We start from the raw sequence: 25,904 nt of genomic DNA, 5'->3' as shown, positions 1-25,904 counted from the left end.
AAGGGTAAAGCTGTTTGAGAATGACAATCAACATTTTAATAATTATCATCAACTTTTAAGTTTGAAAATTTTTGGTCCACCTACAAATTTGTCATTACATCCCTTTTCTGATATGTGAAATTTCTATAATAGAAATGGAAATTGTGTCACTAGTCATAAGTATTCCCAAGCAGAAACAGATACCTGTTTTCACCAAATTTATAAAGATTTTTAAACTAAGAATAGTTGAGGAAGCATCTGTTTCTTTTCATTTTTGTTGTACAACTGTAAATAGGTGCAAAACATATTTTACAGTTGATAATGATAATGATCACCCAAAAATAACTAGTACCGTTGATGAAATTGTTCCCATTTTATACATGAATTAACTGAGGTTCAGAATAGTTTAAATAATTTGCCTAAGATCTTCTATCTTATAAGTGGGATAGCCAGTATTTGATTCTGGGTCTGTTTGACTCCAAAATTTATCTTCTTAACTACTGTGGTATACTTCCTCCTTATGAACATTTTTTCACAAAGGCTTTGTTTCCAGAAAATTTTGATGAAGGAGGTGTCAACAGGTGTAATTCATGTTCTGATGAATTGAAAATGTATTTTGGAAGAATAAATATCAACAGATTTAGTTCAAAATTCTTCAGCAAATGAGTATCCATTTATTTAGATACTGGGCTAAAGAGAGTCACCTTCTCAATGCTGTTTGCAATTGCTTTCTTCACCCCAGCTGCACTTGACTTCCCAAAGAGGGTTTAAGACATGTAGAGATATGAAGAGATGTGGGTTCAAAAAATGATAGGGGAGAGTGCTAAAGATTATCTTTGCTTATTTAAAATTTTGCCTATGGATGGCTCACTTGAAAAGAGAAAGTTTTTGCTATGTGGTCACCTATTCTGAGGTTCCATGTAGTTTAAGTAGTGCAATGGCCTTAAGAATTTAATAGGCATTTTTGAACTATCTGGATAATCTAGCCACCATTCATAACGCAATTTTCAATAAAATCATTTTTAATTTCCATAAAACTGATGATAAGGAGAATGTTTAGAATATAACTCATTCACTGGTTGAAGATTGCCTGTACTATTTTTTTTAAATCTCTTTCCCACTACTGTGGGGAGCTCATAGTGGAATGTCCAAAGTTGTGAGAAAAATGAGTGTCAAAGAGCCTTGATAAGCATTAACTTATGAGTGGACCTTGAATACTTAAGAATTAGCTACATACAACTAAAACAATTAGTAATTAAAAACAACTAGACAGATACACATCTTCACAAGTCATAGTAATTTAGGGTTCATCACATTTAGAATACAAACATCCCTAAAGAATATTAGACATTTGACCCTTTGTATTGCTTTGAATATTAAGATACTTGGTAGTAATTAACTTTTCTGCCTTTCTATTACATCTTCATCAACTTAGTTACTAAGAAAGAGGCTTTCAGAAAAGTTTTTGGTGCTTCTTCACAAATAATATGTAATAAATTTTTCTTTTTCTTTTAAAAATTTTTTATAAATATTAAAGACATTAAATATGCTTTATAGTAGATTTTGATTTTAATAAGACATGATAGAATCATAATGACTGTTCTAAACTGAGTTTTGATCCTTTAAAATTCATTGCAATTTTATAACTATGCCAAATATGAAGAATGTTTTCTTTTTCTGTTGTCCCTTATGCCAAAATGTATCACATAGCATCTGATATATTATTAGGTTTTTCTAACTGTATTTGTTTTAAGGGCGAAGTGTAAACCATAGTATTAGGGGCATATGTATGCTTTGCTGGAGGATTGTTGGTTTTTAATAAATGTTGACTTTCTGGAAGTTGAGGTAAGCAGTACTGAAAGTGAGAAAATGGGCCATTTTCAGCTCCAGGGAATGGAAAAGTGGTGCTTCTTGGTTCTCTAGCTGTATATTTGTACCTGCTTTTAAGGTAGAGAAACTGTACAGGGAAAAAAAGGTGCATTATACAGTGAAGAAAATAGAATGAAATTACTCATGCCCAATGCATCCTGTTTTTCTAGTGGGATGGTTTTGACTTACAACGTAATAAGGTAAGTTAACATCTTAGTTAAAGGAAAGAAAAAGATAGGCATATAATAACAAATTGATAAAAGCAAAAAGTGAGGAAAATACATTGTTACTTTTATCCATTTGTTATTATATGCCTATCTTAACATCACTCAAATCCAGGGATCCACCAAAAACATTACCAGAAGTATCACTGGTAACGGGGGATCTCTTCTCATATAAATACAGAAACTGACTGGATAGAGACAAATTAAAACACAGTTCCCTTCAGCCTCATGCTATATTCTTGGCAGTAGTTTAGATACTGACTTGCAGCTGATTGAAATAATGTAACTAGGAGTTAGTTAATCTGCCATCTAAGTTGACCTGAAATCACCTTAATGTGCTTCCTGATAAGAGTTAAGATTATCATTCTCTTTAAAACTGGTATATGCATGTCAGAAAAGTCACATTTTATATAAAAGGAATCAATATCTTTAGTTACAGATTTTTAACATTCACAGTTAACTTTCATTTTATCATACCAGTCATGTTTGGTGGGTAACTTGTGTATTATGTCAGTTATCTCAGATTATAATTTCTGATCATTCTTAGATAAACACAGATTTTCCTTTAAAAGACTATTTTATTTAATCTACATTCATATATATTTAGCAGTGCCTAATCAGTGTATTTAATTATTTGATTTTGTGTATCTTTTTTATTTACCAATTCTATATCCAAGGCTATTAATACTTTGCGAAGACAGAATAGTATCCATGTTACCTAGTTTTGATTTACTAAGGTGTTTCTAGTTTAAAATATGCCAATAGATATCTTAGTCTTGTGAAATAATTAATGTTTACTTTTTAAAAATTTCTTTATAATTTTATTTTTTATTATTATACTTTAAGTTCTAGGGTACATGTGCACAACGTGCAGGTTTGTTACATATGTATACATATGCCATGTTGGTGTGCTGCACCCATTAACTCGTTATTTAGCATTAGGTATATCTCCTAATGCTAACCCTCCCCCCTCCCTCCACCCCACAACAGGCCCCAGTGTGTGATGTTCTCCTTCCTGTGTCCAAGTGTTCTCATTGTTCAATTCCCACCTATGAGTGAGAACATGTGGTGTTTGGTTTTTTGTCCTTGCGATAGTTTGCTGAGAATGATGGTTTCCGTCTTCATCCATGTCCCTACAAAGGACAGGAATTCATCATTTTTTATGGCTGCATAGTATTCCATGGTGTATATGTGCCACATTTTCTTAATCCAGTCTGTCATTGATGGACATTTGGGTTGGTTCCAAGTCTTTGCTATTGTGAATAGTGCCACAATAAACATATGTGTGCATGTGTCTTTATAGCAGCATGATTTATAATCCTTTGGGTATATACCCGGTAATAGGATGGCTGGGTCAAATGGTATTTCTAGTTCTAGATCCCTGATGAGTCGCCACACTGTCTTCCACAATGGTTGAACTAGTTTACAGTACCACCAACAGTGTAAAAGTGTTCCTATTTCTCCACATCCTCTCCAGCACCTGTTGTTTCCTGACTTTTTAATGATCGCCATTCTAACTGGTGTGAGATGGTATCTCATTGTGGTTTTGATTTGCATTTCTCTGATGGCCAGTGATGATGAGCATTTTTTCATGTGTCTTTTGGCTGCATAAATATCTTCTTTTGAGAAGTGTCTGTTCATATCCTTTGCCCACTTGTTGATGGGGTTGTTTTTTTCTTGTAAATTTGTTTGAGTTCTTTGTAGATTCTGGATATTAGCCCTTTGTCAGATGAGTAGATTGCAAAAATTTTCTCCCACTCTGTAGGTTGCCTGTTCACTCTGATAGTAGTTTCTTTTGCTGTGCACAAACTCTTTAGTTTAATTAGATCCCATTTGTCAATTTTTGCTTTTGTTGCCATTGCTTTTGGTGTTTTAGTCGTGAAGTCCTTGCCCATGCCTATGTCCTGAATGGTATTGCCTAGGTTTTCTTCTATGGTTTTTATGGGTTTAGTTCTAACATGTAAGTCTTTAATCCATCTTGAATTAATTTTTGTATAAGGTGTAAGGAAGGGATCCAGTTTCAGCTTTCTACATATGGCTAGCCAGTTTTCCCAGCACCATTTATTAAATAGGGAATCCTTTCCCTTGTTCTTGTTTTTGTCAGGTTTGTCAAAGATCAGATGGTTGTAGATGTGTGGTATTATTTCTGAGGGCTCTGTTCTGTTCCATTGGTCTATATCTCTGTTTTGGTACCAGTACCATGCTGTTTTGGTTACTGTAGCCTTGTAGTATAGTTTGAAGTCAGGTAGTGTGATGCCTCCAGCTTTGTTCTTTTGGCTTAGGATTGACTTGGCAATGCGGGCTCTTTTTTGGTTCCATATGAACTTTAAAGTAGTTTTTTCCAATTCTGTGAAGAAAGTCATTGGCACTTGATGGGGATGGCATTGAATCTATAAATTACCTTGGGCAGTATGGCCATTTTCTCGATATTGATTCTTCCTACCCATGAGCATGGAATAGTCTTCCATTTGTTTGTGTCCTCTTTTATTTCTTTGAGCAGTGGTTTGTAGTTCTCCTTGAAGAGGTCCTTCACATCCCTTGTAAGCTGGATTTCTAGGTATTTTATTCTCTTTGAAGCAATTGTGAATGGGAGTTCACTCATGATTTGGCTCTCTGTTTGTCTGTTATTGGTGTGTAAGAATGCTTGTGATTTTTGCCCATTGATTTTTTATCCTGAGACTTTGCTGAAGTTGCTTATCAGCTAAGGAGATTTTGGGCTGAGACAATGGGGTTTTCTAGATATACAATCATGTCATCTGCAAACAGGGACAATTTGACTTCCTCTTTTCCTAATTGAATACCCTTTATTTCCTTCTCCTCCCTAATTGCCCTGGCCAGAACTTCCAACACTATGTTGAATAGGAGTGGTGAGAGAGGGCATCCCTGTCTTGTGCCAGTTTTCAAAGGGAATGCTTCCAGTTTTTGCCCATTCAGTATGATATTGGCTGTGGGTTTGTCATAAATAGCTCTTATTATTTTGAGATAACATCCCATCAATACCTAATTTATGTAGAGTTTTTAGCATGAAGTGTGGTTGAATTTTGTCAAAGGCCTTTTCTGCATCTATTGAGATAATCATGTGGTTTTTGTCTTTGGTTCTGTTTATATGCTGGATTACGTTTATTGATTTGCGAACATTGAACCAGCCTTGCATCCCAGGGATGAAGCCCACTTGATCATGGTGGATAAGCTTTTTGATGTGCTGCTGGATTTGGTTTGCCAGTATTTTATTGAGGATTTTTGCATTGATGTTAATCAGGGATATTGGTCTAAAATTCTCTTTTGTTGTTGTGTCTCTGCCAGGCTTTGGTATCAGGATGATGCTGGCCTCATAAAATGAGTTAGGGAGGATTCCCTCTTTTTCTATTAATTGGAATAGTTTCAGAAGGAACGGTACCAGCTCCTCCTTGTACCTCTGGTGGAATTCGGCTGTGAATCCATCTGGTCCTGGACTTTTTTTGGTTGGTAAGCTATTAGTTATTGCCTCAATTTCAGAGCCTGTTACTGGTCTATTCAGAGATTCAACTTCTTCCTGGTTTAGTCTTGGGAGGGTGTATGTGTTGAGGAATTTATCCATTTCTTCTAGATAAAAAGGTTAGACGAATGGCTAACTAGAATAACCAATGTAGAGAAGTCCTTAAATGACCTGATGGAGCTGAAAACCATGGCACAAGAACTACGTGACAAATGCACACGCTTCAGTAGCCAATTCAATCAACTTGAAGAAAGGGTATCAGTGATTGAAGATCAAATGAATAAAATGAAGCGAGAAGAGACGTTTAGAGAAAAAAGAATAGAAAGAAATGAACAAAGCCTCCAAGAAATATGGGACTATGTAAAAAGACCAAACCTACATTTGATTGGTGTACCTGAAAGTGACGGGGAGAATGGAACCAACTTGGAAAACACTCTGCAGGATATTTTCCAGGAGAACTTCCCCAGCCTAGCAAGGCAGGCCAACATTCAAATTCAGGAAATACAGAGAATGCCACAAAGATACTCCTCGAGAAGAGCAACTCCAAGACACATAATTTATCAGATTCACCAAAGTTGAAATGAAGGAAAAAATGTTAAGGGCAGCCAGAGAGAAAGGTCGGGTTACCCACAAAGGGAAGCCCATCAGACTAACAGCAGATCTCTCGGCAGAAACTCTACAAGCCAGAAGAGAGTGGGGGCCAATATTCAACATTCTTAAAGAAAAGAATTTTCAACCCAGAATTTCATATGCAGCCAAACTAAGCTTCATAAGTGAAGGAGATATAAAATCCTTTACAGACAAGCAAATGCTGAGAGATTTTGTCACCACCAGGCCTGCCTTTCAAGAGCTCCTGAAGGAAGCACTAAACATGGAGAGGAACAACCACTACCAGCCACTGCAAAAACATGCGAAATTATAAAGACCATCGATGCTAAGAAGAAACTGCATCAACTAACGAGCGAAATAACCAGCTAACATCATAGTGACAGGATCAAATTCACACATAACAATATTAACCTTAAATGTAAATGGGCTAAATGCTCCAATTAAAAGACACAGACTGGCAAATTGGATAAAGAGTCAAGAGCCATCAGTGTGCTGTATTCAGGAAACCCATCTCATGTGCAGAGACTCACATAGGCTCAAAATAAAGGGATGGAGGAAGATCTACCAAGCAAATGGAAAACAAAAAAAGGCAGGGATTGCAATCCTAGTCTCTGATAAAACAGACTTTAAACCAACAAAGATCAAAAGAGACAAAGAAGGCCATGACATAATGGTATAGGGATCAATTCAACAAGAAGAGCTAACTATCGTAAATATATATGCACCCAATACAGGAGCACCCAGATTCATAAAGCAAGTCGTTAGAGACCTACAAAGAGACTTAGACTCCCACACAATAATAATGGGAGACTTTAACACCCCACTGTCAACATTAGACAGATCAACAAGACAGAAAGTTAACAAGGATACCCAGGAATTGAACTCAGCTCTGCACCAAGCAGACCTAATAGACATCTACAGAACTCTCCACCCCAAATCAACAAAATATACATTCTTCTCAGCACCACATCGCACTTATTCCAACATTGACCACATAGTTGGAAGTAAAGCACTCCTCAGCAAATGTAAAAGAACAGAAATTATAACTAAGTGTCTCTCAGACCACAGTGCAATCAAACTAGAACTCAGGATTAAGAAACTCACTGAAAACTGCTCAACTACATGGAAACTGAACAACCTGCTCCTGAATGACTACTGGGTACATAATGAAATGAAGGCAGAAATAAAGATGTTCTTCGAAACCAACGAGAACAAAGTCACAACATACCAGAATCTCTGGGACACATTTAAAGCAGTGTGTAGAGGGAAATTTATAGCACTAAATGCCCACAAGAGAAAGCAGGAAAGATCTAAAATGGACACCCTAACATCACAATTAAAAGAACTAGAGAAGCAAGAGTAAACACATTCAAAAGCTAGCAGAAGGCAAGAAATAACTAAGATCAGAGCAGAACTGAAGGAGATAGAGACACAAAAAACCCTTCGAAAATTCAATGAATCCAGGAGCTGTTTTTTTGAAAAGATCAACAAAATTGATAGACCTCTAGCAAGACTAATAAAGAAGAAAAGAGAGAAGAATCAAATAGACGCAATAAAAAATGATAAAGGGGATATCACCACTGATCCCAGAGAAATACAAACTACCATCAGAGAATACTATAAACACCTCTACGCAAATAAATTAATGTTTACTTTTAAAGGGTAGTGTTATTCAATCTGTAACATTGCTAGAGAGAGATGTATAAATTATATATTGATATGTAGATGCTAAACATTTTCCTCGTGCTAAATAGCTGTATCTAGTATAACTAAATTATCAAGTAATTATTATAATAGACAATAAACATTAGCGTGCTGTCTTCAACTAGTATATAGAAGCAGAAAAGGACTGTTTCAGGTTATTGTCATTGAGTAAACCACATAGAGGGCCTTTATCCATGGGAAAGATCATTATAAGTAGAGTATGGGAAAAGTAATTATAAGATTCATTTTTGTTGTACAAATATGTTAAACATTTGTATGATTACCATGACTGAAAGTGACTACTTTTGTTAAAAATACTTTTTCAAACTTTAGATAATTTATTTTAAAAGGAATGTTGTTTATGATCATTTTTAATACAAGTAAATAGTGTTCCAAAAAGTTAATTTGACTGAAATTAACTATTTTCTCCCAAGAGTGATTTCATTTAAGCACAGTGGGAGGCTTAATGATTTGTTCTTCAGCCTATGTATCTCAGAAGGAGGATGCCAGTCCTCCTTTTCCACTTGAAAGCATGTGATGATTCTCTTGAGAGATCCATATTAAAGAAGTTAAAGAAATTCTGCCTAAAAACAAGGAGTTGGAATTACCTTTTAAGTAGCAAAGTAACAAAATCCTGTTATAGTAAATTTAAAACTTGTCCCATTAACTGTTTGCCCATTTAGGAATATTTGCGTAACGGGAAACAAGCATTATTCATTTTTGGTGTGTTGATGGTTTTCTTTTGATACCATGTAAAATATAGTTTTAATGTACTTTTTGGATTTTTAACTTGGTGCATTTTCCGTATAATTCAAGATTAAGATTTTTAGTTTTTCTTTCAGCACTTTAAAGATGTCTTTCCGTTGTTTTCTGCCCTCCATGGCTTCTGACAGCCTAGCTTCAGTCATTCTTATTTTTGTTTCTCTGTAGCAAGGAACTACAAACTTTTTCTTAAAGGGCCAAATAGTAAATATTTTAGGCCTGTGGGCCACATGGTGTTTGTTACAACTACTCAATTTTTGGTATAGTGTGAAAGCCCCAATAGATAATGTGTAAATGAAAGAGCATGGCTATGTTACATCAAAACTTTAGTTATAAAAACAGATGTCCATCATGTGTATTGTAGTTTACTGAACCCTGCTCTGTAAAAACAAATCCCTTTTTCTCTGACTGTTTTTAAAGATATTCTCTGTCATTGTCAGTGTTTTGATTAAGCTGTCCCTTTGTGTAGTTTTCTCTGTGTTTCTTCTGCTTGGTGTTGAGCTTTAGGGATCTGGTAGTTTCTAGTTTTCATGAAATTTTGAAAAATTTCAGCTATTATTGATAGAGGCAGGAGACCGAGAAATTCTAGGCAGATAGGGGTGGGTCCCCACTGAAACCCCACCTTCAAGCCAAAAAAGCAAACAGCCTGAAACCCATGGCCCAAAGTTTGCCCACTCTCTCCCAATTGGTTCTTTCTGAATAATGCCTTTTTACCAATCGAATGTTGCCTTTTCCAAAACTACCTATGGCCTGCCCCACCCCCATCCTGTGCTTATAAAGACCCCAGACTCAGTTGGTAGGGAGGGAGATGGCTGGACTTCGAGGGAGACGGCTGAACTTAAGAAGAGATAACCTGACTTCAGGGAAGATGACATGCCATTTCTGTCCCCTCTCCAGCTCCCTTGTCCACTGAGAGCTGTTTTCATTGCTCAATAACATTCTCTACCTTCACCATCCTTCAATTGTCTACACAACCTTATTCTTCTTGGACACCAGACAAGAGCTCAGGACCCACCAAGCGTGGGTACCTAGAAAGGCTCTCACACCAGCCTTTTACCCTCGCTAGTAGAGGGAAGTCGCCCCGTTGCTCCATGCACTGAGGCAAGGGGCCAACTGAGCTGCTAACACACTGCTGTCTACAGACAGCAGAACTAAGAGAACACTGTAACACCCACTCTGGGGCTTGAGAGTCGTGGGCACCCTCACCTGGGTGCTGCTGTTGGCCTTGCATGGAGCTTTCTCCTGCCAGTGCCTGGAACGGCCAGTCAGATCCCACACTCGCTTGCTCACATGCTCCCTCCCACAAGGAGTTGAGCATGGTGGGCTGAGTAAACAGGGTGCCTGTGTTGCGAGTTTGTTGAAGGCGCGAGAAAATCCTGTGTCATTATTGGTTTTAGATATTTTTCTCCCTTCCTACTTGGGACTCCAATTAGGCAAATATTATCCTGCTTGATATTTGCCATAGCTTATTTAGGCTCTGTTTATTTTTTTCCCTGCCCTTTTTCTTCTGTGCTTCATTATGAATAATTTCTATTGCTATTTTATTTGTTCTCTGATGTTTCTTTTCCAGTGTATTATCTGCTGTTAATTCCATCCAATGTATTTTTTATTTCATATGAAATGAAATTTCATATTTTTTATCTCAAGATCTTATATGTGTCTTATTTAAATATTCTATTTCTCTCCTCATGTGTTCATGTTTTTCTTTACATTTGATTTAAAATATCTGCTTTCAGATCCCTGTCCATTGAAATCATCATCTTTTTCATAAGTCTTTTTCTAGTAATTGTTTTTCCTCCTGGCTGTATGTCATATATCTCTTTTTTGCATGCCTGGATTTTTAAATTGGATGCTAGATGTTTTTAGTTTTTTTGTTGCTGTTAGCTGCTGGACTTTAGATTTTTGTTTTATTTATATAGTGAGTGATGAATTTTGTTTGAGGGTAAGTTTGATCACTTTAAGAATTGCTCTTAAGTTGTTACCAACAGATCCAGAGTAGTCTTTTTTTTTTTTTTTAAGATAGCCCCACTATCCTGATTTAGCCTCACTATAAGCTGTGACCTGATGCTTTTGTATCTTACAAGGTCTGTCCATTTCTCTAAGTGTGTACATGAACAATTCCCAACCCTGAAGGAGCTTTGGGAATTGTTTGGCCTTTTGATATTTTTTTCCCTTCTACCAGCTATAGGTAGTTTCTTGTCATGCATGCATAGAATAGAACTCTGCCAAAAACGCAGGTAGATTCCTCTGCAGCTCTCTGGAGCTCCTTCGTGTATTTCTTTCTGTGCAGCTCCCTCCTCTTCTATCCTGCAAATTCTAACCGCCTAAACCTCCCTGAATTCTAATTTGTGTCACTTCCACTCAGGAAGACTGCCAGGCTGTGTTTGGGTCTCTTTTCTTGTGCTGTAATTTGGAAACTGCCTACAGGCAATGAGCTTGGGGCAATTAAAGGACTCATTTGTTTCGTTTTTCTCAGGGATCAGAAAACTGGTGCAAATTGTCCAATGTCTGAAAACCATTGTTTATTACCTTTTGTCTGACTTTCTAATTGTTCAAGATGGGCAGATAATTCCTTAGCATTTAATTTGTCATAGGTGGAAGCATAACTCTGATTACCCCTAAACAGACACTGGTAGACACTGTTGATAAATGAAGCTTTATTATTTATTTGAGGGGACTATGGGTTATTTTTCTCAGTTAAGAACTAAAAAATACATTCATTTACTTTGAACTTCAAATTCTTTACTTTTTTTTTGAGTAGAAAAGAGAATCGTTATTGTCCCATAAATTACTTACCAATTACAAAGAGTAAAAATAGTAATTTTATTGCATTATAACTTGAAGGATGCCACCATAGCCAACATCACCAATAATGGAACAAACTGATATTGTATGCCTCATAATGTGATACAATTAGGACTCAGTATTACTTACAAAGTATTTCTAATAAACAAACAATATGCATAACCTGAATCTAATCATGAGAAAACATCAGAAGGATCCAAACTGAAGGGCATTTACACAAACAACTGGACTTTACTTTGGTTTCTTGCTTCCTTCCCTCTTTCTTTCACCCTCAGTGTTGAATCCTAGGATGAGTTATTTTCTTCAAAGTAAATTAAAGATAGAATGCCATTGCCATCTGACCCTTATTTTATATACTAAAGAAGACTAGGATGGTATAAAACAAACAAAAAAAGCTTCTTTGTATGAGAAAGAGCTCTTGGAAATTTAAATATAAAAGCTGAAATGTAGACATATAATAAACATCTGGACTATCTGCATCAAAAGCTTCTGCTGTTGTATGCGTTTTCTATCACTGCTGTAACAAATTACCGAAATTTGGTGGTTTAAAACAACCCAGATGTATTGTTTTACAGTTCTGAAGGTCAGCTGTCCAACAGGGGTCTCACTGGGCTAAAATCAAGATGTCAGTCATTTCTGGAGGGTGTGGGGAAGAATCAGTTTCCTTGCCTTATCAAGCTTCTAGAGACCACCCACATCCTATGGCTCATGACCCCTTTCCTCCACCTTCAAAGTCAGCCGGAGTCCCTTCTTAAGTTGTCATCGCTCTTGTTCTCCCTATTCTGCCTCCTTCTACCACACTGAAGAACACTTGTGATACTATTGGGCTCACCTAAATAATCCAGTATAATCTCACTATTTTAAGGTCAATGGATTAGCAAATTTAATTTCATCCATAATCTTCAATTTTAAAGCATACCACTCACAATATTGGAGGGTGTTGCCTCTAGAAATATAATAGAATCCAAATAATTAGGAGTGGTCACCAGGAAACTAAGCCTGGATGCCTCTTCAGTGGATGCCTCTCCTGTGGAGATTCTTGGATTTCATTAATCGCACAATGAAGTAATACATTGAAATGAGATCCACTGAATGGAATACCACAACAGGTCTTGCTGCCACCTTTGAATGTTTTCACCAACTGTAGTTACTTTGCCCAATTGGAAAGTCTTTTAATCTCCTCCATTGGAATTCTATCTTTTACATGATTTTAGAAGAATTTTTTTTGTGTGTGAGATGGATTCTCACTCTGTCGCCAGGCTGGAGTGCAGTGGCACCATCTCAGCTCACTGCAGCCTCCGCCTCCTGGGTTCAAGTGATTCTCCTGCCTCCCCCTCCCAAGTAGCTGGGACTACAGGCATGCACCACCACGCCCAGCTAATTTTTGTATTTTTAGTAGAGATGGGGTTTCACCATGTTGGCCAGGATGGTCTTGATCTCTTGACCTTGTGATTCACCCGCCTTGGCATCCCAAAGTGCTGGGATTACAGGTGTGAGCCACCGCACCTGGCCAAAAGAATATTTTTTAATTTATGACTTCTCACTGTGGAATCCTAAACTAGATTATACAGTTGATCACTATAATTCTTAATTTTTCCTTAAATCCTAAAACCAAGAACATTAATGAATTGGCATTTAATAGATGATGTTTATATTTGAGTATTTTATATTTCTTGTCTTCAAGAGGAAAATAATACATAACTAAGACAAATTGGCCTGTTGTATCCAGAGCTTGTGAGGACCTGATCAGGTTCAAAAATAGGTATCACAAACAGATCAAAATGTAGTAGAATCACACCCATATATTAGCTGTAGTGTGAGATAATAAACCAAATATCACCAGTGCCCTGAAAAGAAGAAATTAATTCTTACTGGGGTATGAGAATAGACTTAACCTGGAGGTGAAATTTGAGGTAGGTCTTAGAGAATAATAAATAGGTATGGAAGACTAGGAAGAATTCAGCTATTTTTCTTTACTTCTATTTTTTTAAAACATAAAGGTAATGTCATAACTTTAAGTGTTATTCCACCCAAGGAACTCTGCCAACAATGCAAGTAGATTCCTTGCATTTTTTTTAGTATCAGATGTAATAAATAGTTTCATGTCTTGTTCATGTATTGTTTATTCATCCAGGTTTGGCAGATTTATTTGTGAATTAGTTTTATTGGTGTATAACAAACTTAGTGATTTAAAACCATTATTATCTCGCACTTTCCATGAGTCAGGAGTCCAGGCATAGCTTAGTTAGTTCCTCTGTTCAGGGTCTCACAAAGTTTTAATCAAGGCATCCACCAGGACTGTAATCTTATTTGAGGCTCAGGGTTCTCTTCCAAGCCTACTGTTTAAAAGAATTCAGTTCTTTGTGTTTGTAGGACTGAGGGTGTCAGTCAGTTGTAAAGGCTGTCTGCCATTCTGTGTCTGGTGCACCGTACAACACGGCCGCTTGATTCTGGGAGGCCAACAGGAGAGCATCTTGGCTACTTCGAATATATCTATCTTTCCAACTTCAATCTCTGATATCTAGACCTCCTTTTAAAGGGCCCATCTGATTAGATCAGTGCCTTATTTCCCACCTCTTTCCCTATGCCCTGGATAATCTCCTTTTTTATTAACTGAGAATCAACTGATTAGGTACCTTGATTATATCCTCAGAATCCCTCATATGCCATATAATTCAGCCTAATCATAGGAGTGATAGTGCATCATATTCACAGGTCTTGTCCAGACTCAAGGGATAGGTATTATATAGGGCATTTATCCCAGGTTGAGGGAATCTTAGAAGCTGTCTTACATTCTGCCTACCACAGTTTGACTTACACTATTAATATAATTAGAGAAATACAAATTGCATTTTATATAAAGGATATAGATAGACTGGAAATACTAATAAACCACCACTAATTAAATAGTTGAACACAGCTATTTTCTGAAATAATTATAACTATAACCTTAGTAGATTGTTTTATACTTTCTGTCCTTAAAATACAATTTAACTGAACTCATATGCTCATTATACATTTAAGAATCTCATTGAAACCTTGGAAATTTTCCATTTGCTTCCCAATAAATGTGTACAGTTTTCAAAATCCTAAGTTTTTTCTTTTTACATAATTTTAATACTTAGATCTGTGCTCTGTTAACTATTTTTAAAGTTATGTGGTAATGTTCTCCTAGCAACATGGAGGGGGAAACTGAGTACTATTCGCAATTGGAAGTACAGTGTTGCTTAGCTACCTCTCTTTTAAATTTGAAATATTAAGGCATTTCAATAAGAGGGTAGCCCTTAAGCTTTTAAGTGTTTGCTTATAACATATTGCCGTGTTTTATGTACGCTTTTCACCTTTGTATTGTAACTTATTGTGAAAGTTTAAAAAAAGAGGAGTGCATTTAATGGCAGTCACTAGAGTACCTTAATACATAAAGTCAGTCATTTTTTTAAGAAGCTCTAATGGACACAAATGAAATTACAAGATATGCTTTAATATGAACTTACCTCAAATGCAGTTATACTGCCAAATGCAATAATTATACCAATTTTGTCACTTGATTGTAAGTAAAATCATTGTAAAATGTCTAAAAGGTTACATATAGTTGTTTTAAAAATAGCATTGTTGTCATATGTCAGCGATATCATTAAACACATACTGAAAAAGCACTTTATTACATTATGTTGCTGTAATGCTATCCGGGTTACTTTTTCTTAAAGTTGGACATCAGTAATAAACAGTGTTGCTGCAGTGTTTCTCCTATTTGGAAAGGAATATATGAAGATTCTTCTAGGTGGAGTCTTTCAATACAGATTTTTGCTGCATAATCCAATTTCTCCCCAAAATAACTAAAGTAAGACATACTCATTGTAGAAAACATTTTCAAAAGCTTAGGTAAGTATAGAGAAGAGATTTAAAGCCAACTGTATTCCTGCTTCCCCCAGAAAAACACTAAGACTTTAGTATGTTTCCCTTCTTTGAATATTGTTATAGGAAACATCATATTTCAGATTCAATTTGCATCTTGTTTCCATTTTACTATTTTAGTATAAGCATCTCCAAATCATTAAAATTATTTGAAAATATTTTTATTGATTAATATGTGGATGTACAATGTTTCCTGTATTATGTGACTATAGATTCCTTCCTGTTTTTTATTATGTAGCCACTGAGAAGAAAACCTTTGTGAGCGTTTCTGAATTCCTTAATATAGATCCTAGAAGTGTTACAAATCCTAGGAATTAGAGTAAATGAATATTTTAAAGACCTCTAAACATGTTAATGGGTTATTTTCCAGAAAAGTTAACTGTCCTTATTAACATTTACTGGTTTAATTGTAAGAAGAGAAAGAAATACTTAATATATTGTGTTTATGATGAAGAAAAATGATTTTTTTCAAGTGTTAGCCATTTGTAATTATTCTTTTGTGAAAATATTTCCCTGTTCCATTTATTGATATACCCTTGTGTCTTACTGATTTGCGGGAGACCCTCATGTATTGAATTTATCCCCTTTTCTGTCATAAATTCCATTTATGTGCCTTTTAATTTGATTTCTATACATTTTGAAATACAGATCTTTCCAAAAACTTTTGTAAAAATACCTTTGCAGCCAGGCGTGGTAGTTCACCCTGGTAATCCTAACACTTTAGGAGGCCAAGGTGGGTGGAGGATTGCTTGAGCTCAGGAGTTTGAGACCAGCCAGGTCAACATGGCAAAACCCTATCTCTGCCAAAAATACAAAAATTAGCCAGGCATGGTGGCATACACCTGTAATCCCAGCTACTTGAGGGAGGTGTTGAGGCAGGAGGATCACTTGAACTTGGGAGATTGAGGAGTCTGCAGTGAGCTGAGATAATGCCACTGCACACCAGCCTGTGTGACAAAGACCCTGTCTCAAAAAAAAAAAAATTTCCTCCACCTTCTCTTTATTTTCACTCACTGCCTTTAGGCTTATTAATAGCCTTATCGTACAGATTCTCCTACATTTTATCTCTTTTTTTTCTTCTTCTATTTTTACATTTAATTCTGAACCATGTAAAGTGTGTTTTTGTTTACAGTGTTGGGTTAGGAACAAAATTGATTTTGTTTCCAAATGCTAATCCATTGTTTACAGCACCAGTAGGACTACTATTCCCTTTCCCACTGATCTGTGATAGCCCTTTTATAATATACTAAATCCTGGGATACTGGACTGATTGTCTAGTTTCTATTCTGTTTTATTCGTCTTTCTACACTTGCATTGGAATCACATTATTGTTTAGCGTTATATATATTTTTTAATATTTCTGACTGTTTACCCCTCTCTGTAGAGTAATGTAGATTGTTTACCTTACATCTCATGTTATGGGTATTCATAGTTTTTTTTAATTGTTATTGTGAATGACATTTTTTTCTATTTTCTGACTCATATTTGCTGACATACTTGAAAGATAATGATTTTTTAAAATATTTATATGAAATCCGAGCCCTTTATTCTCAATAATTGTAAGAATTGATTTTATGGAGCTTTTTGATATCTAATAATCATATCTATGAGTAATGAAAATTTACTTTCCCTTCCTACATGTTATGTCTGGATTGGCTAGAAATTCCAGAGTAATGTTAACTAATAATGTTAACAATGGGTGTTCTTATCACAGGAAAGTTAAAATCACGATTAAGGAAAAACTGTGGTCATCTTTCAATTAAAACCCAAATCATAGTTGAAAACAAATCATCCTTAATTTTCTAGATTACATTAACTGCCTTGCACATTTATCATGGAAAAAGGTACATAAAGATCTTGGGTAGTGTGCATTTCTCCAGCACGGGCGCAACATGTGATTACCTCTAATTGGTAACTTTAAAGGGAAGAGGAACCAAACTTCAGATCTAGACTTCAGTTGGAAGATGCCTAAAGGGAAGCTAGATGAGTTAGTTTCTAGATTCCCCTGTGTCACCGTCATTTCCTTGAAAGCAATTCCTGGCATGGTGGCAGTTGGAGTTTCTCTCTTTCCGGAAGACTATAAAGGAGAGCTAGAGGAGAGCAGCACTGCATCTCCACTAAACTGAGGGCTTGATTTGCTGCCCGTCATGCTGTTCTTATGCCATTGTTAGAAAAACCCGAAGCTTTCCAATTTCATCCATGTCCCTACAAAGGACATGAACTCATCATTTTTTATGGCTGCATAGTATTCCATGGTGTATATGTGCCACATTTTCTTAATCCAGTCTATCATTGTTGGACATTTGGGTTGGTTCCAAGTCTTTGCTATTGTGAATAATGCCGCAATAAACACATGTACCCTAAAACTTAAAGCATAATTAAAAAAACAAACAAAACAAAACAAAACAAAAAAACAAAAAAACAAAAAAAAAAAAAAAAGAAAAACCCGAAGCTACAAGTATGGAGATGGGAACTTTTTCTGTTTTGTTATGGTGATAAAGGATCAGGGTTTTTCTTTTCTTCACGTTGTCACCGCTGTGGATGTATTTCATAACTTTTGATGTATCATGAACCACTCCAAACTTAGTAATTTAAAACATCAGTCATTTATTTAGCTCACAATTCTGCAAGTTGGCAATTTAGGATGAGTTTAGCTGGGCAGTTGTGTTCTCAGTTAGGCTCCGTCATGAGTCTGTGGTGTGGTCAACTTGATTAGTAAGATGGTTTTGCCCTTATAGTTGGCTGGTTATTAGCTGGAGGGAAGCTCGGCTCTTCTGTAGCTGGAAGTGTAGGCTTTTTCTCCTGGTGGTGGAAGAGGTCTGAGAGAGAGCAGAAGCAAGCCAAGCCTCTTGAGGCTAACTTAGAGCTGGGACATTGTTACTTGTGTTGCATTTTGTTGGCCAAAAGAAGTCATAAGACCTGCTGATTCAAAGGATAGGGATATAGATTCTACCTCTTGCTGACAGCTTCTATAAAGTCACGTTGCAGAGGGTATGGACACAGCCAAGAATGGGTAATTAGGGCCATGTTTGCCCATCAATCTAACATACAATTGGATGAATGAAGGACTCGAAGATGTGCTTAGAACACTATGTTCCTTGTAAATGTGGATTTTAATTTTGCTGTTACAAAATTATGTCATCCAGCTCCCTTTTTATTTCAGCCTGTTGTCTTTGTATCATGTATTCTTTTTCTCTTTATATTGTTCTTTCATTTTTGGTTCGTTGTGAATCTTTATTCAAATCCATGCCAGATAAAAATTGTCTAAAATTAATTTTTGGTTCCTTATTAAATTTTTCTCAGGGAGATCTTCTCTGCCTCTTCAGATTATAATTTATTTCTCATGTTTGGGAGGATTTTTCCTCATAGAGCCCACCTCAATTTTTCCTTTTTATTTGGACACTGTTGGTATTTGCCAACAGAGTGTGTGGATGGTTTTCACTATCCACTTAGGTTTAAATGCCTTCTCAAATCTGTATCTGAGGAATAGGTTGTTATATGGTTCCAAGTGACTGGTTCTTAGACCACTCTAAATGTGGCTTAAACTAGGATCATCTGCTACCATGCCACTTATGCCTGTTTTTTGGGGCACTTAAAAAAAGGTGAAGTATATGGAAAAAAACATATTTTTAAAACGTGTACTACTAACAGGGTTTTCCCTGCATTTTCTGGTCTCTGCAGAGCTTTTCCTGTGATACTAAGCCTTCCAGGAAGCAGTGAACCATTGTCAGTGCCCCCCTACCCTTTTGTCATATTGCTTGCTGGGAATTATATTTAAATGGACATATAAAGAGGTGTGCCACTGGGAACTGGGAATGAGTTACACAACTCTGGCTGCCTCATAAAGCCATCTTTCTACTGCATAAGCACTGTGTCTGTTAAACAGCAGGTGGAAAAAGGGAGTGAGCTAAAGTCCCTTACTCAGCTGCAGAAGTATTGTGTTTCACAGAGCAAAGCAAGCCGTTGCATGGTATATACCAAACAGAAAACTAAGCCTACCATTAATTTGTTTCTAATCCTTGTTTCTGGGAAACTGTCAGAGATTTCTCATCAGAGGTTAACTGAATTTTGGTAGGGTGTGCTGTTGTCTTTTTCTGTGCCTTTGTATGGATTATTGTGAGAAGGTGGGAGAGACTGCACTAGGGGATTCTATTCAGATACCTTCTTAAGCTGAGTCCAAAGTGCATTTAGTTCATAATGCATTTTCCATTTTTTATTAATCAAAAAAATGTATTGAACGAACATTAAGAAACATAGCAACTGCAAAGAGCAGTTTTGAAAGGCCAGGATTTGCTGCTTTTGGTAGCTTATGCAGTGTTATCATGTGAATAAGTTTACTGTTCCATTATAATTTTGCAGAAATTACATATATTTCTTAGTCCTCCATTATTACTTTTAAAGTTTGCTGTTGGAGAAATAGCACTTTGATTTTCTCTTTGTTCCTACCCTGGCCATCAGCGGTCTAGATGTGAAACACATACCTGTCAAGGAGGTTGAAAGACCAGAATGAAGTGCCTCCAGAATTCTCCAAGCCAGCCTGTGGAATAATGGGTCAAAATAGCTGCCAGGACTAGTTGTTGAATCTTTGGAAAAATGATAGTTACTTTCAAAGATGCTATTTTTTCCATAGTTGTCTTATCTCTGGCAACTGTTTCTGGCTGCTAAGTTTAAGATTTAATAGTAAAATTACAACCTCAGGGAGTCCATCTCATTGGAAAGTAACTGGAGTTATTACAGCTGCAGAATTAAGATGTGCTATAACTACTTGATTATTGTTTCTATAATCTCTGATGAATGTAGAGCTTGAATGATGTTCACCATTTTTTGAAAAACATGACTTGGTTTAAATGCCTTCTTAAGTCTTTTAGCACTGAAGTTCATTAATTGGATTTATGGAACAATTGTCTATAGCCTGTTCTCCTTAGTTAAGAGTTTACATTGGTGCCAGATTTTGACAATATGTATTTAACTTTTTTACAGTAGTAACCTAATTGTGAGTGTTTTTAAATGCCATATAAATGAGGGACTCCTAGTTGTTAGGGAAAATCAGTATCTGATCTCTCAAACTAGGTCAGTGCTTTTAAACTGGGCTTTCAGGGAATATCTATAGGTTGTATAAAATGTGCTTCCACTAATAATGAATAACGGTAACCTTTTCCCGGTATGTGGAAAAGTAGTTTTAGATCTTAAACATTTTCAACCCTTTTGTGTGAATTACAAATTGTTTGACTAGTAGAAAATAAACAGGACAAAAACTGAGCAGTAGTCTTGTTTAGTTCACTCACTTATTTTTTCATTGACACGTGCTTGTGATATTTATATTACTTATCTTTAATATAGCTTTGCTTTTTATTAATTATTCTAGATTTTCTACTGGAATTGAATTAAGATTTGTCACAGTATTGCACAGAAAGCACTGTAACTTCCAAGAGCTTTGCCATTAGAAATGGTTTGAGAACCACCGAACTTACCGTCTTGTAGGATATTAGAGGGCAAGGACTTTTGCCATTATCATCACACATGTTGAGTGGAAGCCACTGCAGACTCTTAAGTGGAAAATAACATGAGAAAAATTGGATTTAATATTTTGGGATAAATTTTGGGGGAGTTTTCTGGATGGACTGGTAGAGGTTGAGGGTAAGCATAGGAATGAAGATGGAATGTAACCACTTTAAACGTTGGTAGGTCAGTTTATATTAAGCATTTGATTAAAAGCTCTGAAAACTCTAGAATTATGATTCAAGTTAAAATATTGAGGTAGCTTTCTTTCCTTTTAGTTTGAAAAGTTAATTTTGAATTGATGGACATTATACATGATGACTAAAGCAAATTTTAGCTTACTATTTCTCTCCCCTATTGTCTAAAATGTGATTCTAATATCATAACTGTCATTACAGTCTTGGCCAGTAATTCAGTAAGTAGAAAAGAAATCATTGTCACAAACTTCCAATTACAAGGCTGTAATGTAGCTGTTGAAATGACAACTAAATGGAGAAGACTGGTCTTGCTGGACAAAAAAGCATACGTGACACTTGTGGGGTGGGGAATAGAGAAGGGGGATAAAAAATTGACTTAGATGGACTTTGATCCCAGGGAGTGTGCAGGGAGATAAATGATAAAGATAAATATAATAGTGAATAGGAGTAACAATAGAAGGAGTTATAGTTCAGGTACTATGGGAACTCAAAGAAAATAACATATCAGGTGGGAGAGTCTGGAGGAGGCATTTGAGTTAGTGAGTTTTGAATAGGCACAATGAATAGGTTAAGGAGCATTCTACCTCAAGGGAAAAACATGACCCAAGGCACTGGCACTTAAACAAGTGTGTGTTGAATAGCTGAATGGAATTGGGTAGCGTTTGTTCTTCCACTGATTTACTCACTATGATATATGAATGCCTCCTGAATGGCAAGCACCATGGCAGGTTGGTGCTGGGAATATAATAAGATGACCGTCATGAAACTACAGTCTAATAGAGATAGATAAAACCGACAAATTAATGAATATATAAATCCAAAGTGAGAAAGACTGTTAGGCTACTGAGTAACTTGAGTGAGGATAGATGGTATGATTAGGTAGTCAGGGAAGGACTCTTTGAGGAAACAAAATATAAGCTGAAACTGATCTTTGTTAGGAGCCAGTTTACCCTGTAGGATATTTACCCTGTCTGAAGTCTTTACCATTGTTGCTATCCCAATGTGTTTAATTTGACTAACTAGTCCCCATTCAAACACAACCAGTGAAATTTATCTTTTTCATCAATGTTTGCTTTATTGATTGCTGAATTATTTACCTGTTATAAAATTTATCATGTTATTCTTGTTTTGCAGAAACCGAAGCTGAAAGACTGGCATCCTCCTGGGGGCTTTATTCTGGGATTATGGGCACTTATTATCATGGTTTTCTTCAAAACTTATGGAATTAAGCATATGAAGTTCATTTTTTAGACTTGATGATGAATGAAGAATGCATGGAGGACTGCAAACTTGGATAATAATTTATGTCATTATATATTTTTAAAAATGTGTTTCTCTTGTATGAATTGGAAATAAGTATAAGGAAACTAAATTTGAATCAACTATTAATTTTATAACTTAAAGAAAAATAATTGTTAATGCAACTGCTTAATGGCACTAAATATATTCCAGTTTTGTATTTTGTGTATTATAAAAGCGAATGAGACAGAGATCAGAATACATTGACTGTTTTTGAAAATAGTAATTTCCCCTTATCCCCTTTTCATTTGGAAAAGAAACAATTGTGAAGACATTAAATTCTCACTAACAGAAGTAACTTTGGTTAATTATTTTTTGTATATCCTCCCAATCTTTTGACTTATGCACATATTTTTTCCCAATATGGAGATCATATGGAATGTACTATTTTGTAATGTCTTTTTTCATTTTACAATGTATTATCAACCTTTTCCCTCTCAAAAATACATTGTGAATGACTGCATAGTATTCACTTTATGAATATTTAATTCATTTCACAGTCTTCTATTGTTGGACCACTTACATTGTACCAAATGTTTTCCTTTGGTTTATTCTTTAATGTATTAATATTTTACTGCTGGTCACTCATGGAATCCTGCAGCTTTAATTAAAAGCAAAGATGAAAAATTGGTTTTTTAATCTATGGCACTGACAATCTCCAGGACCTTATATGTTTGTTGTCAGTTTATTTGGGAAATTTTAGACCTTTGATAATTTCACGTACTGACTGCTCAAGAGAAACATACCCCATTGTTTTTCATTTGTAAGCGTTCTGTGATCTTCTACAATTGGTCACGTCCTCTTCATTTTCCATCTTGAAAGAGAGAGCCAACAAGGACTTTATTTCATTCTGTTTTAGGTAAACCTCCTTGCCCACTGGCTGTATCTATACTTTCCTTGAGAAAAATCCCATAAAGTGGATGGACCTGTGAAGAAAATGTATGCTTATGGCCTAGCCTTCATGTCTGGCTGATGTATCCTATAAGGCAGTAAGCCCCTTTTCTAGTCTCTGGTAAGATGCAAGAGCTCATATCCCCATCACTGACATTTTAGTTTGGAAATAATATTGAGACTGTGCTATGACCAACCCCTGATGTTGTTTTTTCTTTTCAAACTTTTGCATATGAGTAGAGGAAAAGCCTAAAAGTTAAGTATTTATGTCTGGGGGGATACCTTCAGGTGTCTTATCTGTTTTATGCAAGAATTTATGTGTTCATCTTTATTCAGTGCAAAGATTTTTTTTTAAATTTTGTTTATAATTGTAGGTAACATTAAGACAACTCTTCCTCCACAAGAAAACCTCCTAAAATTAATATTCCTTAAGATTTGTTTTTCCTTTTGCACTTATAATATTACCTTTTAATTGCATGCAAGATTGTCATACTTTTCAAAAGGCAAAGGATTGACTGTGTTATCTCCCTAGTTAGAACAAATGATATTGAGGCTTTTTGCCAGCTCTGAATCTTTATTTTAATTGATCTTTTTATTGATGTGTTATATAAATGAGGAAGAAAAATTTTGTCTGATTATGTGAAGGATCTTTCTGTACATGAAAAGAAGGGAAAATAAACTTGCAATTGAATAGACTGATTATAGTAGCACTGAGACACAAAAAGATTGACCATGTTGCCCTCCAGACACTCATACAAGGTCGTGGACACCACGGTGAGGCGGAGCTATTTAGGGTGGTAAAGGAATTATGATTGTTCTTGAGCCAAAGTAATTTAGTTTGAATATAATGAAACATACCCTGTAAAGACTGCTAGAAAGTAAAAGGATTCGTCTTCAGAGGTTGTAGAAGGTGCCCTTCTTAGTTAAAACCAAACTGGGAAAAGTAATACTGGATAAAATATTCAGGATAAATTTTGCCTCAGCAGAATTTCAAAGGGCAGTTGTTCCTCTGTTTCATTATTGAATCTTCAGAATATAGTTAAAGCCAAAAGCTTAAAATATGTTAAATGTTTCACTTATAACCATAATCTTTTTACATAGAGCATACTCTGCCTTCATAATAACTAAATCCTCTGCATGTGGTAGATGAGTACGTTTAGGAAATATTGTCAGTGCAATTAAATGGCCTACACTTTAAACAGTATCATAAAAACAAATCCTTAAATATATTCTACTTGAGTCACAAAAGCTGAACAACAGAAAGGTGTTTTGTTTTTGCCTTTCTCACAGTGTTGTGGTGAGAATCAGATGAGATAGTATTTTGACTAAACACTTCTGAAATTGTAAATATATGGTGGCATTATTGTTCTTATGTCGGCTTAGGAGGATACCAAAGGGGAAGTTAATGGTCACAGTGCACTTATGTAGCTTTCTAAGCTACTCAATGTGATTCTTGTTCTCTTTGCTGTTCTTTTTCTCCTCCCCCATGGTGTCCTTCAGAGAGAAAAGGAATGTAGATAAATGAATCCCTGCAGATGTGTCCTGACATTTCAGGGAGGGACAGGGTATAATGATGCCATCCTGCAAAGGCAGCCTGTGTGAGAAAAAGAAATCAAATAATGTGGATTTTAAAATTACGAAAGACATTCATTTGCAGTTTATGAAAGGAAAATGTAGTTTGGATACAAAGCTGATTAAATTGGATCAAGAAATATTAGAATTAAATGCAAAAAATAATCCATGCATTTATGGTTTTGATTTTTATATATTCCCAGCTAGTTGAAAATGATGATTCCCACAAGAAGCATAACTCAGCTTGTTTCTGCTTACTGAGTATTTTCTACTATGGTATATATTGATAACATTTCTTCCATTATGTATGTTGTATACCAGAGTTACAGTTACTGTGGGAATCATAATTTGAAATTTTGACTCCTGTGTTTCTGGAATCTTTACAACAAATGTTGCATTAACATATAACTTTTTTCAGTTGACTTTACCAAAATTAAGCCCATCTTTAGTAGATACTGTTTTAACATGTGAAAGAAATACGTTATAAACATACCACAAGATATGGCTATAAAACAATGAGATCAGTATCCATTTTTGCTTTAAAGAATTGGCCTTATTGCTTCAGTGTCACATCTCATACTCAAGGGCATTTACTACAAAGAAAGAGTTCTCCAATATTGCTGTTCTGTTGCTGCCTGCCCTATTTACACATGTACCTGCTACTTAAATAGGAAAGCCTTTCAATTCATGGACAATACACCTTGGTGGTAACCAGGCTTTTATTTTTATTTTTTTTTCTTAGTGTAAAAACTGTACTGTTTTGGAAATGTGCTGTGAAATATTAGGTTTAACTGTGTAGATCCTAGAATAAGGGGATTTATATAGATGAAGTTGTAACCAAGAAACTGGTTATTAAAAATTTATTTACTCCAAACATGGAAAGGTGGCAGTGTCATTCTTGTGTCACCTGCACAGTTTGCAGTCTCAGAGACTTCAGAGGACTCTGAGATTTGCCTGCTGAGGTATACCCAGTCATAGGGTCTGCCAGGTGGGAATCACATGATACGACCCACGTTCAGTTTTCTCTCTTTTGACTATGGTAGTGCCAGCTTTGACTGTGCTAGAGTTTCAGGGACGGACATGAGCGAAACTTTCTTAGGGGGG

The 25,904-nt window shown here is 35.8% G+C and overlaps 1 protein-coding gene across 1 annotated transcript in view; it reads left to right on the top strand.

Annotated features, from left to right (window-relative positions):
• PIGK (phosphatidylinositol glycan anchor biosynthesis class K) overlaps positions 1-25,674 on the top strand; it is a 130,442-nt gene extending 104,768 nt beyond the window's left edge. Inside the window, exon 11 of the mRNA NM_005482.3 lies at positions 22,173-25,674. Within this exon, the coding sequence (NP_005473.1) occupies positions 22,173-22,289 (117 nt within the window). The 3' untranslated portion in view covers positions 22,290-25,674. The remainder of the gene's footprint in view (positions 1-22,172) is intronic.
• Positions 25,675-25,904: the final 230 nt, after the last annotated feature.

This window comes from Homo sapiens, chromosome 1 (assembly GCF_000001405.40).
Source record: "Homo sapiens chromosome 1, GRCh38.p14 Primary Assembly".
Taxonomy (NCBI): domain Eukaryota; kingdom Metazoa; phylum Chordata; class Mammalia; order Primates; family Hominidae; genus Homo; species Homo sapiens.
The sequence above is the reverse complement of the archived record's forward strand: the minus strand, read 5'-3'. Positions and strand labels throughout refer to the sequence as shown.